The sequence below is a fragment of the Homo sapiens genome, chromosome 3 (genome assembly GCF_000001405.40).
Source record: "Homo sapiens chromosome 3, GRCh38.p14 Primary Assembly".
In the NCBI taxonomy this organism is placed as follows: Eukaryota; Metazoa; Chordata; class Mammalia; order Primates; family Hominidae; genus Homo; species Homo sapiens.
Window position 1 is genome coordinate 47109657 of NC_000003.12, and position 25491 is coordinate 47135147.

Consider the following 25491-nt stretch of genomic DNA (forward strand, 5'->3'; position numbering starts at 1 on the left):
CAAAAAAATGTGGAGGGGAAAGATGGCTTCTAAAAAAGCCTCATTTCGGCCAGCCACGGTGGCTTACCCCTGTAATTACAGCACTTTGGGAAGCCAAGCCAGGCGGATCACCTGTAGTCAGGAGTTCGAGACCAGCTGGGCCAACATGGTGAAACCCCCTCTCTACTAAAAATAGAAAAATTAGCTGGGCATGGTGGCGCACACCTGTAATCCCAGCTACTCAGGAGGCTGAGGCAGGAGAATCACTTGAACCCGGGAAGCAGAGGTTGCAGTGAGCCGTGATCGTGCCACTGTGCTCCAGCCTGAGTGACAGAGCAAGACTCCATCTCAAAAAAAAAAAAAAAAGCCTCATTTGCCCAAATGTCCATCAACTAACAAAAGGATATACAAAATATCGTATACCCATACAAGAGAGTATTATTCAGCCATAAATAGGAATTAAGTGCTGACACATGCTGCAATACAGATGAAACCTCAAAAACATAATGCTAAGTGAAAGAAGCCAGACACAAAAGGCCACATATTGTATAATTTCATTTATACGAAATACCGAGAATAGATCAACCCACAGAAACAGACAGCAAATTAGTGGCTGCCAGGCCTGGGAGGAGGCAGGTATGAGAAGATTCTGCTTAACAGGCAGAGTTAGTTCCCTTTTCAGATGATGAAAATGTTTTGGACACAGACAAAAGTGGCAGTTGCACAAGATTATGAATGCACTAAATGGTACTGAATTGTAAACTTTAAAATGGTCAATATTATATTATGTGAATTTTACCTCAATTAAAACCCTATCTGGTATCCAATTACATTAAGTCAACCTGGACTGCCTTCTCTTCCTACAACTGGGAGATTTCCTAAAACTACAGGGGTTTTGGTAATAACCTGCTTTTTTGGTGGGGTCTGCCATGGCACTTTAACACTAACTAGTAACTTAGCTCCAAATAATTTCTCATCCTGTGTAGCTCTGACAATCTGTCCTTATTAAATGGTAATACTCTACCAGTAAACAACGCAAGAGTTTTGACTAGTTTATGAAATTCATAAACTATTGGTATTACACATCATCATGTGGCAGTTATAGGAGTAGGAAGGTATGGGAAACATGGAAACATTAAGTCCTAGTATATTTTACCAAAGCAGGGTTCTCTGTGAATAGCTGAAGAAAACGGAAGAGCTTTAGGAAATTTTAACCTGGCTTATAAACTGGAGCCATATATCCTTTCCTCCCTTCCCCAGTCTCCTTTCCCCTTAATATGAGAAGAGCACTGAGCTATCAAAGAGTGTCTGTTGCAAGTAACAGAATTTAGATCAGGTTTGAAGCTATGTGTTTTACTGCAGATACCACAAAAGACCAGCATCCAGACAGCTCATCCACTATTGTCCCTGTAAGAGAGGCTTGTGTCCAAACTGTGGTTCCTTTAAAAAAAAAAAAAAAAAAAAAAAAAAAAAAAATCTCAAGAAGGCCTGGCTGGCTAGGGCAGAATGAAAGAAGGCATCTTTGAAAATGTGCGTCTGGACTAGAACTAGTGATTTTGGAAATTCAATGGGCTGCTTTGAGAGGTATTGAGTTCTGTATCAACAGTGTTCAAAGGAAGTGTAACCAATTATTTGTTTAAAATATTATAAAGAATCCAATGAATGGATATGGGGCATATGACAATTCTGTGGGATATTTGCTTCAAATAAACAATTAAAAACCAGTTATGAGAAGCCTAGGCAACATAGTGAGGACCCCATCTCTACAAAAAATAGAAAAATAAAGTAGCTGGGCATACTGGCTCACACTTATAGTCTCAGCTACTCAGAAGGCTGAGGCAGGAGGATAAATTGAGCCTGGGAGGTCGACACTGCAGTGAGCTATGATTGCGCCAGGATACTCCAGCGAGGGTGACAGGGCAAGACCCTGTCTCAAAAAAATAAAAAACAATAAAAACCAGTTATGAGCCAGGGTGTGTTTTTACAAAACTTAGAGGAGAAGAGAAATCTATGAGGTTCCTACTAGCCCCCTTTTTGTGTAACAAAACATGTTGCTTTCTGATTGGTTCCCAAAAGGATAGATTAATATCAACATCATTTCTTATCTTCAAAGGAAAAAAAAAAAAAGAACAATTTGCTTATCAAAAGATATATGAGGATTCCTGTCATAAAACTAAATTATTGCCAAGGGGAAAACAGTGAGAAAAAAAAATTATTGTCTTTATTACCTGTGTTTTGAATTCCCACAATAAACAGATTAAACCCCACCAAGTCCTGCCCCAACTCCAACTCCCATCCAACTGTGGCCATATGCTCAGAGGGTTCTGAAAGAATAGTTATGTCTAAGTTACTAGAATCCAGCAAATGTTTTATTTCCTTCCATTTTTTCTTTTATATATTTTTTAAATGTTTCAACCATAAACACATGTAATCTGTTTATATTTAACTTCAAAGAGGCACTTGACCTTCATTAAGAATACTTTTTTTTTTTTTTTTTGGAGACAGTCTCGCTCTGTCCCCCAGGCTGGAATGCAGTGCCATGATCTCGGCTCACTGCAACCTCCTCCTCGTGGGTTCAAGCAAATTCTTCTGCCTCAGCCTCCCGAGTAGCTGGGATTACAGCTGTGCGCCATCATGCCTGGCTAATTTTTGTTTTGTTTTTTGAGACAGAGTTTCACTCTTGTCACCCAGGATGGAGTACAATGGCGCAATCTCGGCTCACTGCAACCTTCGCTTCCCCGGTTCAAGAGATTCTCCTGCCTCAGCCCCTCAAGTAACTGGGATTATTGGTGCCTGCCACCACATCCAGCTAATTTTTGTATTTTTAGTAGTGACAGGGTTTCACCACATTGGCCAGGCTGGTCTTGAACTCCTGACCTCAGGTGATCTGCCCACCTCGGCCTCCCAAAGTGCTGGGATTACAGGCGTGAACCACCACGTCCAGCGTAATTTTGGGTTTTTTGTTTGTTTTCGAGATGGAGTCTTGCTCTGTCTCCCAGGCTAGAGGGCAGTGGCATGATCTCGGCTCACTGCAACCTCCACCTCCCAAGTTCAAGCGATTCTCCTACCTCAGCCTCCCAGGTAGCTGGGATTATAGGCGTGCGCCACCACACCCATCTAATTTTTGTATTTTTAGTAGAGACGGGGTTTCGCCATGTTGGCCAGGCTGGTCTCGAACTCCCGACTTCAGGTGATCCACTCACCTTGGCTTCCCAAAGTGCTGGGATTACAAGCATGAGTCACCATGCCCGGCCAAGAATACTTTAAATATGCTATATATAAGAAAATTAAACATTTCCAGGAAATACTGAATATGGTAGAAAATAAAGTGAACCTTTTGCTGTATTACATTAAAAACTTACATCAGTTACATGGAAAGCAACATTTATTCATTCAAGAAATGTTTAATGATTATCTATCAAGTATGTTTTAATTCTTAACCTTGATATGCTCAGGTATTCTCTTCTACTCTTTTTTTTTTTCTTTAAGAGACAAGAGATCACTGCCATCCAGGCTAGAATGCAGTGGCGTGATCACAGCTCACTGTAACCTTGAACTCCCAGGCTCAAGCAGTCCTCCCACTTAGCTTCCCATAGCGCTGAGATTACAAGCATGAGCCACTGCACCTGGCCTTCTCTTCTACTCTTATCCCAACTCAATTTTATGTATACTAATGGATTCTGTCCCAACTTCTTTTTATATAGCTTCATAGAGATTCTGGGGGTCCACAGTAAACACTTGGTAGTTGCTTGGAATTAAAGAAAACATAATTACCAAAAAAGAAAAAAAGATTTTTTAACAACAAACTAGCTACCAAGTGGTCATTCTACATAATAATCATCATTAAACCTCAGTGTAATAAAGAAATTGTTTCCCTACAAAAACATCTAAGTTCAACAACACAAAAATGAAGTGAAGCCCAGGCGCGACGGCTCACACCTGTAATCCCAGCACTTTGGGATGCCAAGGTGGGCGGAAAACTTGCGGTCAGAGTTCGAAACCAGCCTGGCCAACATGGTGAAACAACGTCTCTACCAAAAAAATACAAAAAAAATTAGCTGGGCATGGTGGCATGAGCCTGTAGTTCCAGCTACTTGAGAGGCTAAGGCAGGAGAATTGCTTGAATCCGGGAGGTAGAGGTTCCAGTGAGCCAAGATCGTGCCACTGCACTCCAGTCTGGGTGAAAGAGTGAGACCTTGTCTCAAAAAAGGAAGTGAAAGGTAATTAAAAAAGAACTTACGAAGGAAGGTCTTTGGCAGCTCTCAAGCCCCAGCCTTTCTTTTCTGTGAGTATGACTTCCACATCTGCATGCTGTTTTCTCTGAAACCGTCTATTGGAACAATAATCCCCATTTGGACACCGAGAAGAACTGAAATGAGAAAAGGAGGAAATTTAATTCTTTAAAGCAGCAAAAGAACCAAAGTAACTTTGAAAAAATGTGTTAGTATAACTACATATATACATACTTTTATGGTATAATTAGCATATGTATGACTAACCCCCAACTAAGTCTTCCTTTCCTTCCATCACAAAGGGATTCCTTAGAACTGAGTATCTACATTGTTACTTAAACAGATCATACCCACAATACAGCCTTGATATCTGGTCATCACAGAAATATCTACCACTCCCTAGGTGTCTAGAATACATTTTCAGGCTGCATGTAAGCTTTCAGTACATTGACAACTCTGCAGAACTTATATTCTGTAAGTGCACCTTCCCTTCCTTCTACTCTAATCACTTTTAATTTCATTTTTTGAATGCAGCTAACTACTTGATCTACAATTGAGAAAATCTAAAGTCATTATTAAATATATCCTTGTTCAGAGTAAACAGAATAACATGGCATGGCTCTTCTCCCATGGATCCTAGAGTAAAAATGATAAAATCGAACACTGATTGACTTCTTAATATGTGATAGATATAAAGGTTTTAACGATGATTAAAACTACACCAGAGGGGGCTGAGTACGGTGATTCATGCCTGTAATCCCAGCACTTTGGGAGGCCAAGGCAGGTGGATCACTTGAGGTCAGGAATTCAAGACCACCCTCGCCAACATAGTGAAATCCTGTCTCTCTGAAAAATACAAAAATTAGCCGGGCATGATGGTGCACGCCTGTAATCCCAGCTACTTGGGAGGCTGAGGCAGGAGAATTGTTTGAACCCAGGAGGCAGAGGTTGTAGTGAGTCAAGATTGTGCCACTGCACTCTAGCCTGGGCGACAGAGGGAGACTGTCTCAAAAAAAAAAAAAAAAAAAAAAGACCACTGGAAATTACCAATCATTTTGAATATATTATTATTTATTGCCCACCCAGCAGCAAATAACATTTTTAGCAATGGTCAAAGGATGAAGGATTTGCTCTAGAGTGAGGCAGTATAAAGGAAAGCTTTCAGGAGGGAAGAGAATTTAAGGCAGAATCTCTAATGATACATAGGATATGCATAAAGAAAGCTGGAGATACAACTGTCCCTGTCTGTGTGCAGAAATAGGAAAACAATCCCTGTTTGGACAAAGAGAAATGAAACAACTAAAGATAACTGATAAGAAAGGTGAGTTGCTGGAGGATGAAAAGACAGGCTGATGATATGCTACCAAGGGCTCTGAATACAAGGCTAAGTTTGAACCTAATCATGAGAACAACCGAGAACTACCAAAAGCTTAAGTGTGTGAATAATATGAAGAAATATTTTTCTTCATGTATGCTTCACAAGGTTGGCAGGAAAACCCAGAAGAATGACTAGGGCAACAATATGAAGTTAGAATAATGCTAACTCTATGTCTTCTCTTCTTACATCTGTACTGTCATCTCTCTCTCTAGTTTGGATAAAAGAATACCAAAAATCCTTTCTCTTTATTTTTTCAAGGTATATATATTTTATTTTTGCAACACTATAACATGAGCAAAACCAAAAACTGAGCTTTGGGGAAAAAAAACCTTCACTAACATCAAAAATAAGGTATACTCTTTCCATGTAAAAGACAAGAATATATTTTTCATCAATCAGATTGGTTAAAAAAATTTTTTTGAGACAACATCTCGCTCTGTCACCCAGGCTGGAGTATAGTGGAATGACAGCTCACTGCAAGCTCCACCTCCTGGGTTCAAGTGCTTCTCCTGCCTCAGCCTCCAGAGTAGCTGGGATTACAGGTGTGTGTCATCATGCCTGGCTAATTTTTGTATTTTTTAGTAGAGATGGGGTTTCACCATGTTGGCCAGGCTGATCCTAAACTCCTGGCCTCAAGTGATCTGCCCGCCTCAGCCTCCCAAATAGCTGGGATTACAGGCATGAGCCACTACGCCTGGCCAAAATTAAATTTTTTAATGTAAAGATATTTACTATTTATAAGAACAATACAGAAGCAAATGTCTGTCAACAGACTAATTACCGGCTAACTATGAATAGAATACATAATGCAGTCAAGAGAAAGATTTAGGCAGGTCTGTACACAGAGCTCTGATTAGGTCTGATTAGCAAATCCAAGCAAGTATATAGAATAAGATTTTATCTGTATACATAAAAAGAGGAAAACATCTACCTATGCTAGCATAGGCATTAAAAGTTTTCTGGAAAAATGACAAAACAATGGGACTGATGTTTGGGAGAAGACATTCACTTTATGCATTTCTGAAATGTTAGGGTTTTATTTCACTTTATAGTGAAAGCTAAAAAATACCAACATTTACCTCTAGGACATAAATATTATAAAAGATAAAAAAGTACTGAATAGAAATTAATATTATAGGACTACTTTACCAAGCACTTAAAACATGGTGGGTACTGTAATCTAATGCACAATGCAAGGGATATTTGTTTCCCTATTAATATGTTTTCTACTATACATCAAAGTGTCTACTATACTTTTTTGCTTGTAGTCATCCATAGGTAGGAGAAAGGTTAAATTTTATTCTTCATTGATAATTCAATATTTAGAGACATTTAATAGAAGTGTTGAGCAAAAGCCGAGTATTCTAATTTACTTACCATTCAATCATGAGAAGACGATTAAGACAATCTTCCCCACATGCTATTTCACCTTGAGCTCTTTCATCTTTAGAAAGAGGTGTACACTCACACTGCATTCGCTTAATATCTCGATGAGATTTATTCTTCTTTCTATTGGGTAAAATTTCATAAAAACTGATTAAATAAATTTCCTGGTAAAGATATAACATATATAATCAAATATGTGCCAAATCTCATTAGATTCTTTTGGGTTTTTTTAAACAGGGTCTTGTTCTGTCACCCAGGCCAGGGTGCAGTGATGCGATCATGGCTCACTGCAGCCTCAACCTCCTGGATTCAAATGACCCTCCCACTTCCACCTCCTGAATAGCTGGGACCACAGCTCATGCCACCACGCTTGGTTTTTGTTATTGTTGTTGTTTGTTTGTTCTTTAATATTCTGTAGAGACAGGGTCTCTCTATGTTACTCAAGCTGGTCTTGAACTCCTGGGCTCAAGAAATTCCCCTGCCTCCACTTCCCAAAGTGCTGCAATCGCAGGCATGATCCACTACGCCTGGCTAGATTCACATTTAATGATTCCTGTAAGTCAACCATTCAAAATAAAACATCTAATTATTAGTACTTGTGAGACTGAAAATCCTAAGACCTGCATTACCAAAAAAAAAAAAAAAAAAACAAACAAAAAAAAAAACATGAGAAGGGCAACCTTAACCTTGGCAAATGGGGAAGATGAGATGAGTTCAAGACTACTCATTCTGGAACTCAGCCCTTATTTCCTACTCCAGGTCAGCTAAGCCTTGGATTCAGAACAGTTTCAAGTGTTAAAGTCATACTAGGTTCTAGGAAAAATAGGAAAACTCATGCATTTCAAATAGTGACATAGCTGGTTAAAGTTAAGTTTAAGAATCAGACCTCATGGATGAGCAAATAATAGTTGAGATATAAGATTGAGGGAGAAAAGGGGTTTCTAAAAAAATAAGAGTGAGTTCTAACTCAATCCAATATTTTAGAGAATCTTTCAGTAACATCACATCTGCATAAATTTTGTTTAAAAGCAGACTGAATTTTTTAAATGAAGTGTAATTACAGAATAATCAGGTAAATGTTTAAGAGGGCTCAACTTTCTCCATGCAGACAGATTTATTTTGGAGAAGAACATAAACTGCTAAAATTTGATTGCGTTCATAATAAGCCATGCCAGAGTGTGCAAAGCAAAAGTGAAAATGTGATTATTTATTGGCCTTTTTGCTGATGAACTAGTCTTTTACCCTGGTCTAAAAACAAAACAAAACAACCAAAGATGGTCAAAAAAGATCTGTTATGTTTAAGATTAGGGAACTATAAGAACTATAACTCACTCTTTGACTATCAAACAGGAAACAGCATAGCTGCTCTAAATGGTTATCTAATCTCCTACCTCTAATCTGCTTTGATCTTCAACATATGTTCTATTCTAGTGCCAATTTTATGAAGTGCCTCAAGAGTGTTATGATAGTTTTAACTAAGTTTAGGTGAAAAGAATGATTCCTCTTGATTAAAGACACAATTCGTTAATGAGTATATGAATATGCTTAGCCTGAAGATGACTAAACGAAATTATCTATTTAGAAGTACTTAGCTACAATTTTGAAGAATCAGCAGCAGCTTTATTTTGTATTGCTCTAGAAGGCTGGAATAGGACGAATGGGCATAGATTTTGGCAGGTAAGCCCTTTTCCATTAAACATAAGAAAAATGTTTTCATTATATTCATATTATTTTTTATAAGAGTTTGTCTTCTTAGTGGCTCCTAAATGCCTAGCATATAACAGGCACTTCAAAATTTTGAATATATAGGCCAGGCGTGGTAGCTCACGCCTGTAATCCCAGTACTTTGGGAGGCTGAGACGGGCGGATCACCTGAGGTCAGGAGTTCGAGACCAGCCTGGCCAACATGGTGAAACCCATCTCTACTAAAAATACAAAAATTAGCTGGGCGTGGTGGCACCCGGCAGAGGTTGCAGTGAGCTGAGATCACGCCACTGCACTCCACCCTGGGAGACAAAGTGAGACTCTGTCTCAAAAAAAAAAAAAAAAAGTTAAATATATATAAATCCTTCCCACTGCAAAGTGGTGGAAGCCCTCTTATGCCTCCACTAACCAAATCTATGTGCACAGTTTTATATATATATATCTGATTCTCAATGCTAAAGAAAAGTCAGAGAATTGGACTGATTAGTTTTATTTATATTCTTTTACAAAGATCTTGTAAGTTCCATTAGTCTACTCACACAATTCCTAAAGGGTACTACTTAAAATATTGAATATTTTAAATGTAAACTTAATTTATAACTAGATATAAATGAAAATAGCTGTAAAAGGCTCTCTGTTAAAAGGTTATTTTGTAATAGAAAAAAATTTCTGGTAGGACCTACCTTTAAAATTAAGTCTTTTACCTTATACACAGAGGAAAATTTGATTTAATAACATTTTGATCCTTAAAGATACAATGGCTAGGTTGATTCTCAACTAGCAGGAAAACTTCCAAAAAAGGAGAGTAAGGGGGCAGGATACTTTTTGTTTTGGTTTTTTAAGCACAATCAATATAAATTTACATCAGGAAAATGAGAAAATTATCAAGGAGGGGTTAAAGTTAAAACAGACTGAGAAGCCCTGCTCTAGAGGACTATGTTTTCATTACTCTTATTCTCATTATAATTTGTTTCATGTTAGGGATTTTTTGATAAACCACTTTATCATTTCTAAAATATTTATTACACTATTGCCAGATTTAATCTATTAACAATAGTCTAAAAAAAAATGAGAGAAGAAAATTATGTTCTAGTCTAGTTCTAACTTTATAAGTACCTGATATGGTTTGGCTGTTTCCCCACCCAAACTCAACTTGAGGAGGTAACTGAATCATGGGGGCCGGCCTTTCTCGTGTTATTCTTGTGATGGTGATTAAGTCACACAAGATCTGATGGGTTTATCAAGGGTTTTCACTTTTGCTTCTTCCTCTTTTTCTCTTGCCACCACCATGTAAGAAGTGCCTTTTGCCTCCTGCCGCAATTCTGAGGCCTCCCCAGCCATGTGGAACTGCAAGTCCAATTAAACCTCTTTTTCTTCCCAGTCTCGGGTATGTCTTTATCAGCAGCATGAAAACGGACTAATACAGTACCCAAAGATACTTCATTCTGCACATTTTTGAAAATAAAATCCAAAGTAACCACTTTTTTCTTCTCTAAGTACAGATTATTTTGCTGGGGTTTTATTCTGTTTTTTTGGTCAGACTTTCACATGTAAAAGGAATTACAGAAATACTGGGCTAGCCTAAATTGTACCTTGAAAACCAAACAAGTAATGAAAGAAAAAAATAGACATCTCCTTTCCTGGGGATGGGGCGGCGGGGGGAATGGGGAAAGGAATCTATACTATCAAATCTAAATAGGTAAAAACACTTTTTTAGACTTTTAAATTTACTTTATCCCACAACTCTTTCATGTGTTTAATCTCATACAGTCTGAATTGTTTAAAGGCTTTTTCTAACAACAAAAAAAGAGTTAAAATTTGTCAAACAAGTATTAATTAGACTTACCTTTCTGTTAAATAAACATTTTCTTCAATAAGATCAAAGTAACATGGCATTTTCCCTTGCTTGGCACATTCCTTCCATCGCTGTGGGTCCCTGAAGTCATCCATGACACAGGAGGGCCCAACCAGTGCTGAACCTGGGGGCACTGATGTCTCTCCCTGCTCTACCTCCACTCTAACTTTCTTTCTGTCCTGAAGCTCACCATCACTTTCAGAATCACTCTCTATTTCCTGCCTCCTTTTTTTAAGAGGCCCTCTATCTTTGATATCATTTTTTTCTAAGTTTTTTGAAAAATCTTTCTTTTCATTCACAGCTAAAGTGTCCTTAATGGAATTGCTGCTTATTTCAGGTGCTTGCACTGACCCCTTGTCTTTCTGAAGGGATAGAAGAAATTTATCGGACTGGTCTGAAAAATGGGATCCATCCTGTTGATCCCAATTCTCCTCTTCTTCACGATCATCTGTTAGGGAATCTGGTACTTGTCCTTGAGTTCGATCATACACAACCCCAGTTCCAGGAGGTCTACCTGATCTTGGATCCCAGTAACCATTGCCTTGCCAGTAATCACGTGTCCCACCATACTGTTCTGCATTTTGCTGATACTTGTGTCCACCACAAGCTCCATAGCTACTGTCAGGTTGCTGATACGTGGTAGAAGGCTTTTCTTGAGAGAAGTCCCAACCTAAGTTTCTGAGCTCTTCTGATGAGTGCAAGCCATCCACATGTGGTATCTCACAAGAGGAAGAAAAACTCAATTCTGTTTTTCCCAGTCTACTATCTGGCCTGTTTTGGAAAGTGGTCTGTTGCCAAGACTTATTTGGGACATCTTCAAAATCAGAAGAATAAATTGGCAGCTCTTCTTGCTGCCTAGAAGGTATTTTGGCTTTCACGGTTTCCTCTGAATTTGGGTGACCCAGAGGGTCAGATTTCACATCTGTATGACTTGTACTATCAACCCCATCACTCTGAGGATGAGAAAGTTCAGGCAGGCGATTATCTATTTGTTTTCTACTGGACTGTGTAAAAGAAATTTCCGGATTCTTCTCTGTTCCTTTATGAAGGAAAAACTTATCAGTTTGAGGACAGGCTTTACTTGCTATACTTTCAAATTTTTCCTCATACAAATGTCTCCTTGACTCCAATCTCTCATCTTCCCAATGGTCAGAATAGTGTCTATAACTTTGACTGCTCCGAGAAGAACAAGGACTTGTTTCTTCCATGGGCAAAGTAGAATTCTTTGGCACAACCACAACAGACTGGAGACGGTTTCTTGGAATACTGCTATCATCCGAATCTGTATCTTCTGAATCACTTTCATCATTTGAACTTTCAGAAGAGCCAGAATAATCTTCATGAACTGTAGACACAATTTCTGGGGCATGACCACTACTGTCACACTTTAATGCATAAGTTACACCATCACTGTCTTCCATGGTTAAATTCAAATCACAAGAAGAAAATACAACTTCTGAGTCATCAGAAGTATGCACATGTCCTCCTTCTCCTCTTTCATCTAAAGAGATTTCTGGTCTTCCTCTTCTTTCAGGCAATATGGAATTCCCTTCTTCTTGAGCCTCTTGCAAACATTTCCCAGATAACCCATTATTACGCCTGTTCTCCCTGGAAGCAAATCCCTTTCCTGAATCAGGAAGGTCACTACCTACTTCTACTATTGTTTCTTTCCCTGCATGCTTTAAAAACTCTGAACTTTTTTTACTCTTTAGCACTGCATCCAGAACTGGAGATGTGTTCTCTCCGCATTTCAAGAGAGTTAGACTGTCCACCTTTATTCCTGGTGGAAGACTCTGAAGAGATGAAGCAATACCTGAACTCCCAATAGGTTGATATAAATCATCAAAATGATTAACAGAAGCTGAACTAGTGCTACCGATGCTCTGCTTATATTCTTCACATGCAAATTTTGAGTGATCTGTCAAATTTCTACTATCACATATAACTGGTTTTGATTCCAAATGCACATTCATAAAGCTATTTGAAGAAATCTTCATAACTGAAGGCTCAATATTTTCAGCTTCAGAGTTACACAAAGAAGGGTTGCTATCGTTCAAAGTACAGTATATGTCTGAATCTTTGGTTTTGCAGCAAGAAACCCTCGTATCAACTGGTTCTTTAACTACTGTTTTGGAATAATCCACAGTCATAACTGGCATAGACATGAGTTTATCTTGGTGTGGTGACACCAGAGGTTCTGTTTCTCTAAATGGGCTTTCTGACTTCTTATGCAGCATGCAGGTATCATCCAAGTCTTTTTCTTTGCACCTACTAATATTCTGAAATCCATTTGATGAAAGCATGCATGCTTTGACCAAAGGGGATAATTCCGATCCAGTCACACTATCATCAGAAGTCATTAAAACAGCATCAGTTTTAGAAGTGCAAAATGTTGCCAAATCAGATTCTGCCCCAGGAGATCCATTTATATTTAATTCTATGGGACAAAAACTTCTTAATTGATCATTCTTCACTTTAGATAAAGAGTCTAATTCCTTAATACTATCATGGCTATCATGTGTTATAAATTCGGACTTAAAAATAGGCAATTCATCTAGCTTTTTTAAAGTAGGTGAATCATTTAATCGATTTGATGGAGCTGGAGACCCAGCCTTTTCTCTTTCAGGATTTTTATTAATCATTCTTAATTCACTACCTTTTGAACAAGGTGTCTGTAAACTAAAAGAATGAGACTGTTTGATTTCTTCATTTAATTCTGTACAACAGAAAGAATTTTTAAATTTATCAGACTTGGGTATAGGTTTTGAAAGGGTAGATTTATAACGGGAAGCACTACTGTCATGCTTAGAATATGATGACCCTCGTCGGAATCCCAGTTCATTAGGGGGAGAACAACATCTTTTAATTGCTTCATTTTCTGAAGTCCTTTTAGATTCTCTTTCTAGTTTTGAAGAATACTTGCCTCTTCTTTCCATCTCTAAGTAAGAGGTCTCAGTTTTACAGTCCCGATCAGATTTAGAATAGGATGATGTCCTTAGGTCTCTGTAAGAAGAGGAATGAGATGAGGTACGCCTTGAGTATGTCTTCTTATACTCTTCTTCTGAGTCAGAACTCTCTCGTGCTCTGTTATCTGTGTATGGCCGAGAATAGCGCGTCCTCTCTCGATAAGGGGAGCTCCTATGGTAGCGACGATCAGAGTCATAATAATGAGATCGTTCTGACCTGGAATAGGATAAATTAGTTCTAGAGCCTCTCTCAGACCTAGAGTGAGATCTGCTCCGCCGTCGCTCTCTTTCTGATCTACATCGGGAAGATACATACCGAGTATCTCTTTCAAGTTTTGAATAGCTAAAATATTTATCATCTCTGTCTGTTTTAGATCGTGAAGGTTTCCCTAGATCCTCACTTTTTAAAGGTGCTGAGCTCTTTTTAAAATCTCTTTCCTTTTCAATGCTTGCTGAAAATTTTAAATCATGTGATCTTTGACTTGAAGAAGTCCGTACAGAATCTTCATCAGATTCTGAACCAAGAAAGATGCCTTCAGATTGTGAGGATTTCTTCTTAGAACCTGTTTTTTTACAGCTCAGACTAATCTTAGAACTATCTGGAATTTCTTCATCCTTCCCAATATGGGAATCTTCTTTTTTTGAGGAAATATCTGCTTGCTCATTCAATATTTGAGTTACGTGTTCTTCTAAACTATTAGATATAGTGTCCTGCTTAGTATCTGCTTCTAAAGATTCTGGTACAATTATAATTGGTGGTTCTTTCAGAGATCTAACTGCTACATCTACTGGTAAGGGTACTGGTGCTGCCATTAGAACTGTTATTGGTGTATGTGGCAAGGCCACTGGCTCTGTTACTGGTGCTGGTGATGAGAGTGTTGTGGCTTGGGCAGGTGGAGGCGGTGGAGGCGGAGATGAGGGCGGTGAGTCTACAGTTGTTGATTCTGCTATCACTGCTGGTAATGGTGCTGCATGAGTAGGTGGAGATGCTACTGCTGTGGTAGTAGCCAGCAGTGGCCTGGATGTTACATGAAGCAGATGTTTCTTAAAATGAATTTTGCCCAATTCCACCCTTGACTTTGGTGGGGAAGATTCTTCTGCAGTAGATAAGGTATCACCAATTTCCATTTTCATTTTAGGAGTCGAGTCTACCTGAAGAGGTACAGCTGGAGGGTTTGGAGTATCACTTTGCTTTTCATTGCCAAGTGCAGTGAGAAACCTATTCTGCAAAGTTTTCTTTGTAAGGCTGAAGCTGAATGACACCTTCTGTCGTCCCTGTTCTTCCAAATTAACTTTTGTTTTGGTGCCTTTGGGCAAAAATCGACTAGAAGCAACACCTTTGAACATTGGTCCTTTGATGAAACCTGTTTTCTGCACATTTTCAATCTTTGCCTACAAATGAACAAAATAAGCAATTACTACTACAATAAATAGTTACTTTCAAATGGACTGCACAGTTTAAAATGTTTACTGGAGAAATGAAAAGCCCTTTTTAATAACAAATAGTATGAATTTCACTAAGCTATATATATCTTTATTATGAAAATTTTCAAACACAGTCAAAAGTATAGAAAATGGTATAATAAATCCCTAAGTATCCACTCCAAGCTTCAACAATTACCTATTTTCCCCATTCTTACTTTCTCGTACATAAATAACTTTTTTCAGTTTTATAACTATTTTCCAGGTAGCATTTTTTAAAAAGAATTTTTTAAAAACCTGACATATGTTTGAAAGACATTTGTATAAAGGGCAATATCTAACATCTCAGTACTCAATATGGTTTGTTCTTGTGTTCTATCAGAGATGAAAAATCAGAGGTCATCAAGACCAGTGGTCTCCTGGCATCACATGGAGTGCACAGTAAAAATACTCATCTGGGTCGAGCACAGTGGCTCACACCTGTAATCCCAGCACCTTGGGAGGCCGAGGCGGGAGGATCACTTGAGGTCAGGAGTTCGAGACCAGCCTGGCCAACATAATGAAAACCCATCTCTACTAAAAATACAAAAATTAGCAGGGTGTGGCAGCATGCACCTGTAACCCCAGCTACTTGGGAGGCTGAGGTGGGAGAATCACTGGAACCCCGGAGGCAGAGGTTGCAGTGAGCCAAGATGGCACCACAGAACTCCAACCTGGGCAACAGAGCGAGCCTCTGTCTCAAAAAAATAAAAAATTTAAAAATTAAAAAAAAAAACATACTCATCTGTGATCCACACTCTAGGAAATATCAAATATCAACGAGCTATTGAGCTCTAAGATGAGGAAAGGGTTTGTTTTTTGGGGTGTTTTGAGGTTTTGGTTTTTAAAAAAAACAAACAAACAAAAAAGCATTACATAGGCAATTCTAATCAATGTCCCAGGTTTGGGAAACCACTGATACAGAGGAACTTCCCACCTTACTTGTTTTACAGATGAGGTAACCAAATGAGGACCAGGCCTTCTGCCTTCCTGGAGAGTACTCTGCCTTGGCACATATCACTGTCTCTGCCTGGGCCCCCCACCCTCAAGTAATAATACTGCTGTATAAGCAACAGTTACAAAGTATAAACCTAAGAAGACTACTTTTCTTCCATGTTTGCCAAATCACCAAAGGAAATGGTTAGCCTTGGAAGTTCAAGGCATAACGTAGGTTGTACAAAGAGCATCAGAAAAATCTACAGCAACAAACTCAATCCTAAATTAAAGATGGTGGTATACTTCTCATATGCAAAATTCTTCTAATTAATGTTCTTTAATCCACTTTGGCTATTTAAGAGAGTAACTTCCCTTTCAACACAGTAAAATCTGAAATCAGTTTTCAAAATTACATAGTAGTCATTCAAGTTGGAAAGTAAATACTTTCACATATATTATCATGGAGCAGTGAATTCCAAATACTTTATTTTTTTGAGACAGAGTCTTGCTCTGTTGCCCAGGCTGAAGTGCAGGGGCACCATCTTGGCTCACTGCAACCTCCTCCTCCCCAGCTCAAGCAATTCTCCTGCCTCAGTCTCCTGAGTAGCTGGGACTAAGCCACCATGTCTGCCTAATTTTCTTATTTTTAGTAGAGATGGGGTTTCACCATGTTGGCCAGGCTGGTCTCAAACTCCTGACCTCAAGTGATCCACCTGCCTCAGCTTCCCAAAGTGCTGGGATTACAGGCATGAGCCAAATACTTTTAAGAAACAGAATCCACTTTTCAAGTTAAATCTTAAATGGAAGCTCAATACATAAAAAACAAGTAAAAGATATTTTTAGAACTTCCAACTTTCTCTACCTTTCCTAAATCTCTTGAAGCTCTAAAGTTTAAAAACCATTTTTCTGAGATACACAACATCCCTCACTGGGATAAGTTACCATGGCTCTAAAAACAAAATTAAAAACTATTACTTCATTTCACATTCAAAATGATAGCTACATTTTGAGTGTTTTCAGCTTTTACCCAATTTCTAAAATGTGTTTAGTGGTCCATCTCATAATCATTGAATGACTAGTTAAATTATACTTACCTCATTTTCTTCTTCTCTATTTCCATTCAGCCAAGAAAACATGCAAAAGAATAAAAAGAAATCATAAATACTTAAAAACGATTGAAATAATAGTTATTTGTATTAAAACTTGGGATACTTACTACCTACAGGTATATTCTATATGGATTGTCCATTCCTTCACACTCAGTTACATTTAGTTTAACAAATATTTACTCAAGATAGTGTCACATACTGTGCTAAGGGCTGGAGACCAAATTTGAATAAAGCAGCATCCCTGCCCTCAAAAAGCTCAGCTTCCTGTAAGTCACAAAAAAGAAATTTGTAACAAAAGTAATACCAACATAATGGAGTAAATATAAGAATAGAAATATATATAGTAAGGCAGCAAAGAGGACGATAAGCAACTCAGTTTAGTGGGAAAATAGGAATGCAAAGAATTTTTCCTGCCTAGGTGTGGTGGTTCACACCTGTAATCCCAGCACTTTGGGAGGCTGAGGCCGGCTGATGGCTTGAGCCCAGGGGATTGAGACTACACTGGGCAACATGGTGAAACCCTGTCTCTATAAAAAATACAAAAAAATAGCCAGACATGGTGGCGTGCACTTATAGTCCCAGCTACCTGGGAGGCTGAGGTGGGAGGATCACCTGAGCCCAGGAGGTCGAGGCTGCAGGTAGCCATGATCACACCACTGCACTCCAGCTGTGGTGATGGCTGTCTTTAAAAAAAAAAAAAAAATCCTGAAGAGACGATTCGTTTTTGAAGAATACATTTGTGAGAAGATCCCAGGCAGAGTCAGAGATTAACACATAAAATAAGGCTGGGTGTAGTGGCCCACACTTGTAATCCCAACACTTTAAGAGGCTAAATTGGGAGGATCACTTGAGTTCAGGAGTTCGAGACCACCCTGGGTAACATAGCAAAACCTCATCTCTCTTAAAAATAATTTTTAGGCCAGGTGCGGTGGCTCACGCCTGTAATCCCAGCACTTTGGGAGGCCGAGGTGGGCAGACCACCTGAGGTCAGGAGCTCGAGACCAGCCTGGCCAACATGGTGAAACCCCATCTCTACTAAAAATACAAAATTAGCCGAGCATGGTGGTGCGTGCCTGTAATCCCAGCTACTCGGGAGGCTGAGAATCACTTGAACCCGGGAGGTGGAGGTTGCAGTGAGCCAAAGTCGTGCCATTGCACTCCAGCCTGGGCAACAAGAGCAAAACTCCATCTCAAAAAATGAAAAATAATTTTTAAAAGGAAGGCTAAGTTGGGAGGATTGCTTGAGCCTGGGAGACAGAAATTGCACTGAGCCAAGATCATGCCACTGCACTCCAGTCTGAGCAACTGAGTGAAAACCTGTCTCTCTCTCTCACACACACACACACACACACAAAATAACATAGAATAATATGTGTAAAGTATCTATAAACAGTTCAATATTACCTGAATATAAGGTGTAAGGCAGAAAGAAGCCAACAATAAGATGGAGTAGGAGGCAGTGGTCAGGTTTCTCATGAGAAGAATCATATTTCATCTTATGGATCAATGCTTCTCAATCGTTTTTGGTATCTGTTCAACAGTTCCAAAGGCAAGACTATTCCACATTACAGTGCATCTGCTCCATAACACAATGCGCAGCTCTCTGGGTTATGTTCTAACAAAGGTAACCACACTGACTAAGAGCAATCAAAAGCCACAAGTCTAGTGTACACTAGCACACCAACGCATACTGAGGGACTGTCTACTTGGAGAAAAGGAAGCTACAAAAGGACATGACAGCGAGATTTGTATTTTCAGCTAGTCACTCATTGGACTATGTGGCAAGACTGGAATACAACAATCTGTTTTCAATGTTCCTGAAAGGAAACATATAAAACCCTTTTCCCCAAATGTAGGCCTAACTTCATCATAATTCATTCCATTCGCCAGTGTCTGTGGTAGCCATACAAAACCAAGTAATGACAGGGGGAGAGGGGGCAGTAAGCTGATAATACATGAATGAGATCTGAAGCAGTGCCAAAATTAACCATTTTTTTCTACTCCAAAACCACTAAAAACCTCATAAATGTGATGTTAGCACTACTGTACTTCATCAATTCTATGATGTACATTTTGCCCACAGGATGCATGCTATCAATGGTATAATAGTTTTAACTGAAAATTTTTTTCACGTCTCAACGTTCATAAAATAATCATTTTCTTACAATCGATGGCATATTAGAACCTATGGTATATTCAATTTGATTTAAATTAGTACCATTTGAAATTTTTTCAAGACAGAAGGTACCAGGAGATGTCCAACCAAGGCTTATCTGCATAGTACGCACACATACGAAATGCTAGAAATACAAAAGTGACCAGAACACTTTCTTAAGCCTCAGCAGTTCTATTTTGGACAGGCAGATGAAAAGAATAATCCTGACAAAATATGATGAAAATAGGCTCAGGTTATATTGTAAATTTGTGGAGTTGGGAGGGAAGGGGGCATAATGAAGGTCCATTTTAGAAATCAAAGAATTGTTTGACAGAAATGACAAGACAGGAGGGGGAAGTGTTTAAAAAAGAAAAGAAAAGAAATGACATTTCCCAGAACTTGATAAAATAAAATGTTTATAATAAAAGAATATAAGCACAATCAGAAATTTGGAGGGAAATTTTCTCATCATTAAAAGCATTTAGTGTTAATAGATAAAAATCAAATTACAAACAAGCAAAAGAAAAGTCCACAATCCAACTTTCCAGAGACAACTACTGTTAACACTTTGATCTACAGAGCTTTCTGCACTCGTTTGTGCATGCACTTGAGTGTGGTTTTTAAACAGAGATCATTGTTTTTCTTTTTAAAAACATACAAGCCATTCTGTATCTTGCTTCCCTCCCTCATGATAGAGCTGGTGAGCAGACAAGTTGTTTAGATCACAGAAAAAGTATGGAATCACCAAATTAGATTGAGGAAGTGATCTCAAGAGAAGGAGATACAGGCTGGGCGCAGTGGCTCACGCCTGTAATCCCAGCACTTTGGGAGGTCAAGGCGGGTGGATCACCTGAGGTTAGGAGTTCAAGACCACCCTGCCCAACGTGGGGAAACCCCATCTCTACAAAAATACAAAAATTAGCCAGGCATGATGGCAAGTGCCTGTAATCCCAGCTACTTGGGAGGCTGAGGCAGGAGAATCGCTTGAACCGGGAAGCGGAGGTTGCAGTGAGATCACGCCATTGCACTCTAGCCTGGGCGACAGAATGAGACTCCGCCTCAAAAAAAAAAAAAAGAAAAAAGAAAAGAAAAAATTGGTCTCTACTTTTCTGACATAATTAGTTGAAAGCTGGGGGAAGAGACAGGGTAAAAGACAAAGAAAATTCAAGCGTTAGGCAACAGAAGTGGAAGTAGACTGTAATCCTCAATGTTGCTGCCCAAAGTTGGACATTACCAATTTATAATTGAGCTCATTAGCATACTTATTCTATTTTTGTTGAAGGGATTAAGCCATCAGAGGTAACAGCTAGTGAATTAATCCAGCAAGATTGGCGGGACAAGAGGGGTAGAAGGCAAGAAGTTGAGAGAACTGATTTCTCAAAAATATTAAAATAACTGACCTAAAGATCCCTAGATAATAGACAGGGAGTGAAATCTGAAGGAAGCTCATAAACTCAATAGGGTAGGGACAAGATATTGGGGGCTTTAAAGAGTGGATTTGGTGGAAACCAGGAAGAGAGGTAGAAGGGTCAATAAGGTGGAAGAACTGGAAATTATGGTCAGAGTATTATTTTAGAGTTGAAGTACATTTCCAGGAGAGTCTTCTTGGGTAGGAGACCTAGGTACGGCCAGGAAGAGTAGACTGCTGCAGCAATAAGAAGGCAGGACCTTTTTGAAGAAATTAATACAATTGTGAGACCACAATTAACAGCAAGAATTAGCTACAAATGTTTTTAACATAAGAACACTTGTTTCGGTAAATAATATCAAGAGCAAAGAAGAGAGTTTTTGAAGAAAGGTTGATGAAACAAGGGTATAGAAACAAGAAGTTAAGAGTATTAAACTTCCTGTACTCCCTACCATAAAAAATAAGGAGGCATGTGAAAACAAGTATTTAACTCCACAGGATGAGATCATGCTAGAATAGCCTATTTCTTCTTTCAAAAAACTACTACAGAGAAAAAAAAAAGAATATGTTAGCCAGTTATCTGTCAAAAAAATAGTGAAGTGGGCAAATCTGCAGCTTGCTGATGGAATTATATATTTAAAGAATCCATATCAACACGAAGATAAATCTCTATTAGGTCACATGGTATATATAGAAAAAGACTTAGTTAAGAGTTTTAGTCATGGCAAGCTCAAGGAACCAAAGAATGACATGACTTAAAAAAAACCAACCAACCAATCTCTCAGGCTAGGACATTAGAAGTAAGGTTTACAAAGGGAAGCCCTATAAATGAGAGCAATTTGGCCCTATCAAGCGCATTAATAAATATAAACAAGTTGGATAGTAAAGAAATCTATTCTGGATACCATGTCACACAAGAAATGGTTAAAGCTAAATAGAAGTATTTTTATCTACCTTAGAAGAAAAAAGATTTACAGGACCATAGTAGTTTATTTCAAACTACCAGAAAGTTTAGAAGATGAAATAATCTTATTTTGTGCAATTCTGAAAGTCAGAACTGTGACCAACAAATAGAAGTTACAGAATGACAGCTTTTAGCTCATTTTTAGTACATTTTAAATTAATTTTTTTTCTTTGAGACAGAGTATCGCTCTGTCGCCCAGGCTGGAGTGCAGTGGCGCGATCTCAGCTCACTGCAAGCTCCGCCTCCCAGGTTCACGCCATTCTCCTGCCTCAGCCTCCCGAGTAGCTGGGACTACAGGCGCCCACCACCACACCCGGCTAATTTTTTGCATTTTTAGTAGAAACGGGGCTTCACCGTGTTAGCCAGGATGGTCTCGATCTCGACCTCGTGATCCGCCTGCCTCGGCCTCCCAAAGTGCTGGGATTACAGGCGTGAGCCACTGCACCTGGCCAAATTAATTTTCTTTATTTGAAAAAGTACTATATGTAGCTGCGGGAAATTTTATAATACAAAGAGATATACAACTAAAAACAAATCACTCTCCCCAGAGCAACTATTGTTAAGTTTGCATATTCTTTTTTTTTTTTTTTAATTTACTTATTTTTTGAGACAGAGTCTCACTCTGTCACCCAGGCTGCAGTACAGAGGCGTGACCTCAGCTCACTGCAACCTCCACCTCCTGGGTTCAAGCAATTCTCCTGCCTCAGCCTCGCGAGTAGCTGGGACTACAGGCGCGAGCCACCGTGCCCAGCTAATTTTTGTATTTTTAGTAGAGACAGGGTTTCACCATGCTGGCCAGGCTGGTCTTGAACTCCTGACCTCGTGATCTGCCCACCTCAGCCTCCCAAAGTGCTGGGATTACAGACGTGAGCCACTGTGCCTGGCCTAGTTTGCATATTCTTATTCGAAAACTTTGTGTGCATATATGAACATACACATATCTTTTTTTTTTTTTTTTTTTGAGACAGGATCTCATTCTGTCTTCCAGGCTGGAGTCCAGTGGCGCAATCTTGGCTCACTGATGCCTCAACCTTCCAAACTCAAGTGATTTTTCTGCTTCAGCCTCCTGAGTAGCTGGGACTACAGGTGTGAGCCACTGCACCGGGCTAATATTTTTTGAGACAAAGTCTACTACAAAACTACAAAAACTAGCCAGGTGTGGTGGTACATGCCTATAGTCGCAGCTACTTGGGAGGCTGAGGCAGGAGGATCCCTTGAGCCCAGGAGGTGGAAGTTACAGTGAGCAGAGATTGTGCCACTGCACTCCAGCCTAGAAGATAGAGGGAGACTCTGTCTCAAACAAAAACAAAACTAGATGTGTCACTGTACAGGACACTTAAGATTCCTTGACATCAAAAATGTTTAAGAATCTGGATAAGAACTTAACTAAGATAAGACAAAGAATATTCCTGTCCTCAAGGTGGACAGCCAAAAGTGAGGTCCTAGGTCTCACTCCAGACCTTCTACTGAATTTCGTAACTACAAATCAGAAATAGCTTTTTACTTTACCTTGATTTTAATAAGCAAAGACTTCAAAAATTCACTCCTACCTAAAGATTTCTTACTAAAACTAAAATACAGTGTTTCTTACACTTGAGTGTAGTATAGGCCTCATTTAAAGAAAAAAACTGTCAGACATATAAGAATAGATCACAGTTCAAGATTTCTGACAGAAAACAAAAATTAGCCTATTAAAATTTATTTCATTTGAAAACTGTCATTGCAGAGAATTTTAAACTTAAAACTTGTCAAAATAATTTTTAAGGTCTATAGGTTAGAAAATAATATTGTATCAGTGTTAATTTCCTGAATTTGATCATTGTAATGTTGTTTTTAGGAAATACATATTTGAGGATATAGGAGTAAAGAGGCATCATGTCTGCAAATTTCCAGCATTCCAGGAAAAAAGTAATGATGTATACATATATGTATATAAACAAAGAATGACAAAACAAATGTGGTAAAATGTTCTTATCTCGGGAATCTGGGTGAAGGGTATATAGGAAATCTCTGTGTTTTAAAAAAATATATTTTAATACATATTTTTTGTAGAGACAGGGGTCTATGTGGTCCAGGTTGGTCTCGAACTCCTGAGCTCAAACGATCCTCCCGCCTTAGCCTCCCAAAGTGCTGGGATTACAGGCATGAGCAACTGTACCCAGTGGAAATCTCTATTTTTTAAACCATTCTGTAATTATTTTTTAAACTTAAAGATAATCAAATATGAAAAGTTGTTAAAAATTCTCACAGAATCCCCCCCAACCCTTAAGAATATGTGGGCCAGGCGTGGTGGTTCACTTTGGGAGGTTGTGGCAGGCAGATCACATGAGTCCAGGAGTTGGAGACCAGCCTGGCCAACATGGTGAAACCCCATCTCTACTAAAAATACAAAAATTAGCCAGGCGTGGTGGCACATGCCTGTAATCCCAGCTACTCAGGAGGCTGAGGCATGAGATTCGCTTGAACCCAGGAGGCAGAGGTTGCAGTGAGCCAACATCACGCCACTGTACTCCAGTCTGGGCCACAGAGTGAGACCCTGTCTCAAAAAAAAGAGTATGTGGACCCTTGGAAATCCTAGAGCCTCAGCTGGAAAAACATTACCTCAAATCTTCCTAAATTTATATTCTGGTAAGCACTGATAAAAATAAGCTACATAAAAACTAGACTCTGGAGTATGAGATTACAGGGGTAACGATACTGTGAAGAGAAAACTCAAAGACAGGAAAACTGATAACAAAAGAAAGGAAGCCACCAATTACAAATCAAAGAGTATTTCATAATATTGCTTTTAACATATCCTAGCCCAGAGGTAGGATAGCAGTACCCTTAACTTCCTAGAAGAAAGGTGCTTGTTGTCCCCTGCCCAAAGCAAGACAGAAACAGAAATATTGGCAGGGAACTCTTCTCAATTACTAAGTGATTACCTTCACCATTAGGAAACCAGGAATTTCATTGCTCCTGCTGCCCCATCCTACACTATACCTCATGTTTTGTTTTAATTTTAGGATTCTAAATCCTTGATCCGCTTCCCAGCAAGTACAGGTGGAAGCCTCTGTTGTGGGGGGGAAAAGTTTGGAACGAATGAGTTAAAGTCATGCATGTTTTGACATTTATACATTTAAGCACCTATGGCGTTATATATTCAAGAGTTAAACTTCCTCCAATCTTCACTGATCTAGAAATATGCATCAGGCAGAAATCTTCAAAATTAAAACTTTTATCACAAAAGGTCACACCTACCTAGCTCTCTGCTTGGACTATGGTCATACACATTTGCAAACCTCTTCTAAACACACTGAGCCAATCCTTCTGTAGGCTAGAGTTTTGGTAGGGAATGGATGTCCTAGCTAACTACCAAGAGTGAGCTGGGCTTATGGCAAATGTGAAAACTACATCAGAACGTATCTCAGTAGCACACAACCATGCTGATGGACTGCTCAATGACTTTTTTTTTTTTTGAGACAGAGTCTCACTCTGGTGCCCAGACTGGAGTGCAATGGCACGATCTTGGCTCACTGCAATCTCCGCCTCCCAAGTGATTCTCCTCCCTCAGCCACTGGAGTAGCTGGGATTATAGGCATGTGCCGCCACACATGGCTGATTTTTGTATTTTTAGTAGAGACAGGGTTTCACCATGTCGGCCAGGCTGGTCTTGAATTCCTGACCTCTAGTGATCAACCCACCTCGGTCTCCCAAAGTGCTGGGATTATAGGTGTAAACCACCACACCCGGCCTGAATGACATTTTAGAAAGGTAACACTTAACTATAAATATCACCTCTCATATCAATCAGAGGCTATTTGTTCAATAATTATTTAAGGATCCACCTTGTAAAAGCAGTGCTAGGTCTGTAAAGGCAAAATGTCAGTTCACAGTCTCTACCCCACCAGGAATTTCATACTTACTTGAAGTAACATGGCACAGAGGTACATCAAATAACTATAATACAAGGTAACAA

The 25491-nt window shown here is 39.1% G+C and overlaps 1 protein-coding gene across 12 annotated transcripts in view, besides 2 other annotated features; it reads right to left on the bottom strand.

Annotated features, from left to right (window-relative positions):
* Positions 1 to 25491, bottom strand: part of SETD2 (SET domain containing 2, histone lysine methyltransferase) — a 148405-nt gene that overhangs the window by 93221 nt on the left and 29693 nt on the right. For 11 of the 12 annotated variants that reach the window (NR_146158.3, XR_007095670.1, XR_002959514.2 and 8 more), the window contains 4 exons: positions 16992 to 17007; positions 10526 to 14892; positions 6967 to 7098; positions 4220 to 4348 (listed from right to left, as the gene is read on the bottom strand). Coding sequence is in view for 6 of the 12 variants with exons in the window: in NM_014159.7 (NP_054878.5) it covers positions 4220 to 4348; positions 6967 to 7098; positions 10526 to 14892; positions 16992 to 17007 (4644 nt within the window). In the remaining 6 variants the exon portion in view is untranslated. Of the gene's footprint in view, positions 1 to 4219; positions 4349 to 6966; positions 7099 to 10525; positions 14893 to 16991; positions 17008 to 25491 lie in introns of those variants that run through there. The other variant, NM_001349370.3, reaches the window with a different exon arrangement.
* Positions 4054 to 4561: an enhancer, noted in NCBI's record as "OCT4-NANOG-H3K27ac-H3K4me1 hESC enhancer chr3:47155200-47155707 (GRCh37/hg19 assembly coordinates)". NCBI's record gives its function as "activates a minimal SCP1, AML or CMV promoter by ChIP-STARR-seq in naive H9 embryonic stem cells {active_cell/tissue: H9 hESC(naive)}" and the evidence as "EXISTENCE:reporter gene assay evidence [ECO:0000049][PMID:30033119]".
* Positions 4562 to 5070: an enhancer, noted in NCBI's record as "OCT4-NANOG-H3K27ac-H3K4me1 hESC enhancer chr3:47155708-47156216 (GRCh37/hg19 assembly coordinates)". NCBI's record gives its function as "activates a minimal SCP1, AML or CMV promoter by ChIP-STARR-seq in naive H9 embryonic stem cells {active_cell/tissue: H9 hESC(naive)}" and the evidence as "EXISTENCE:reporter gene assay evidence [ECO:0000049][PMID:30033119]".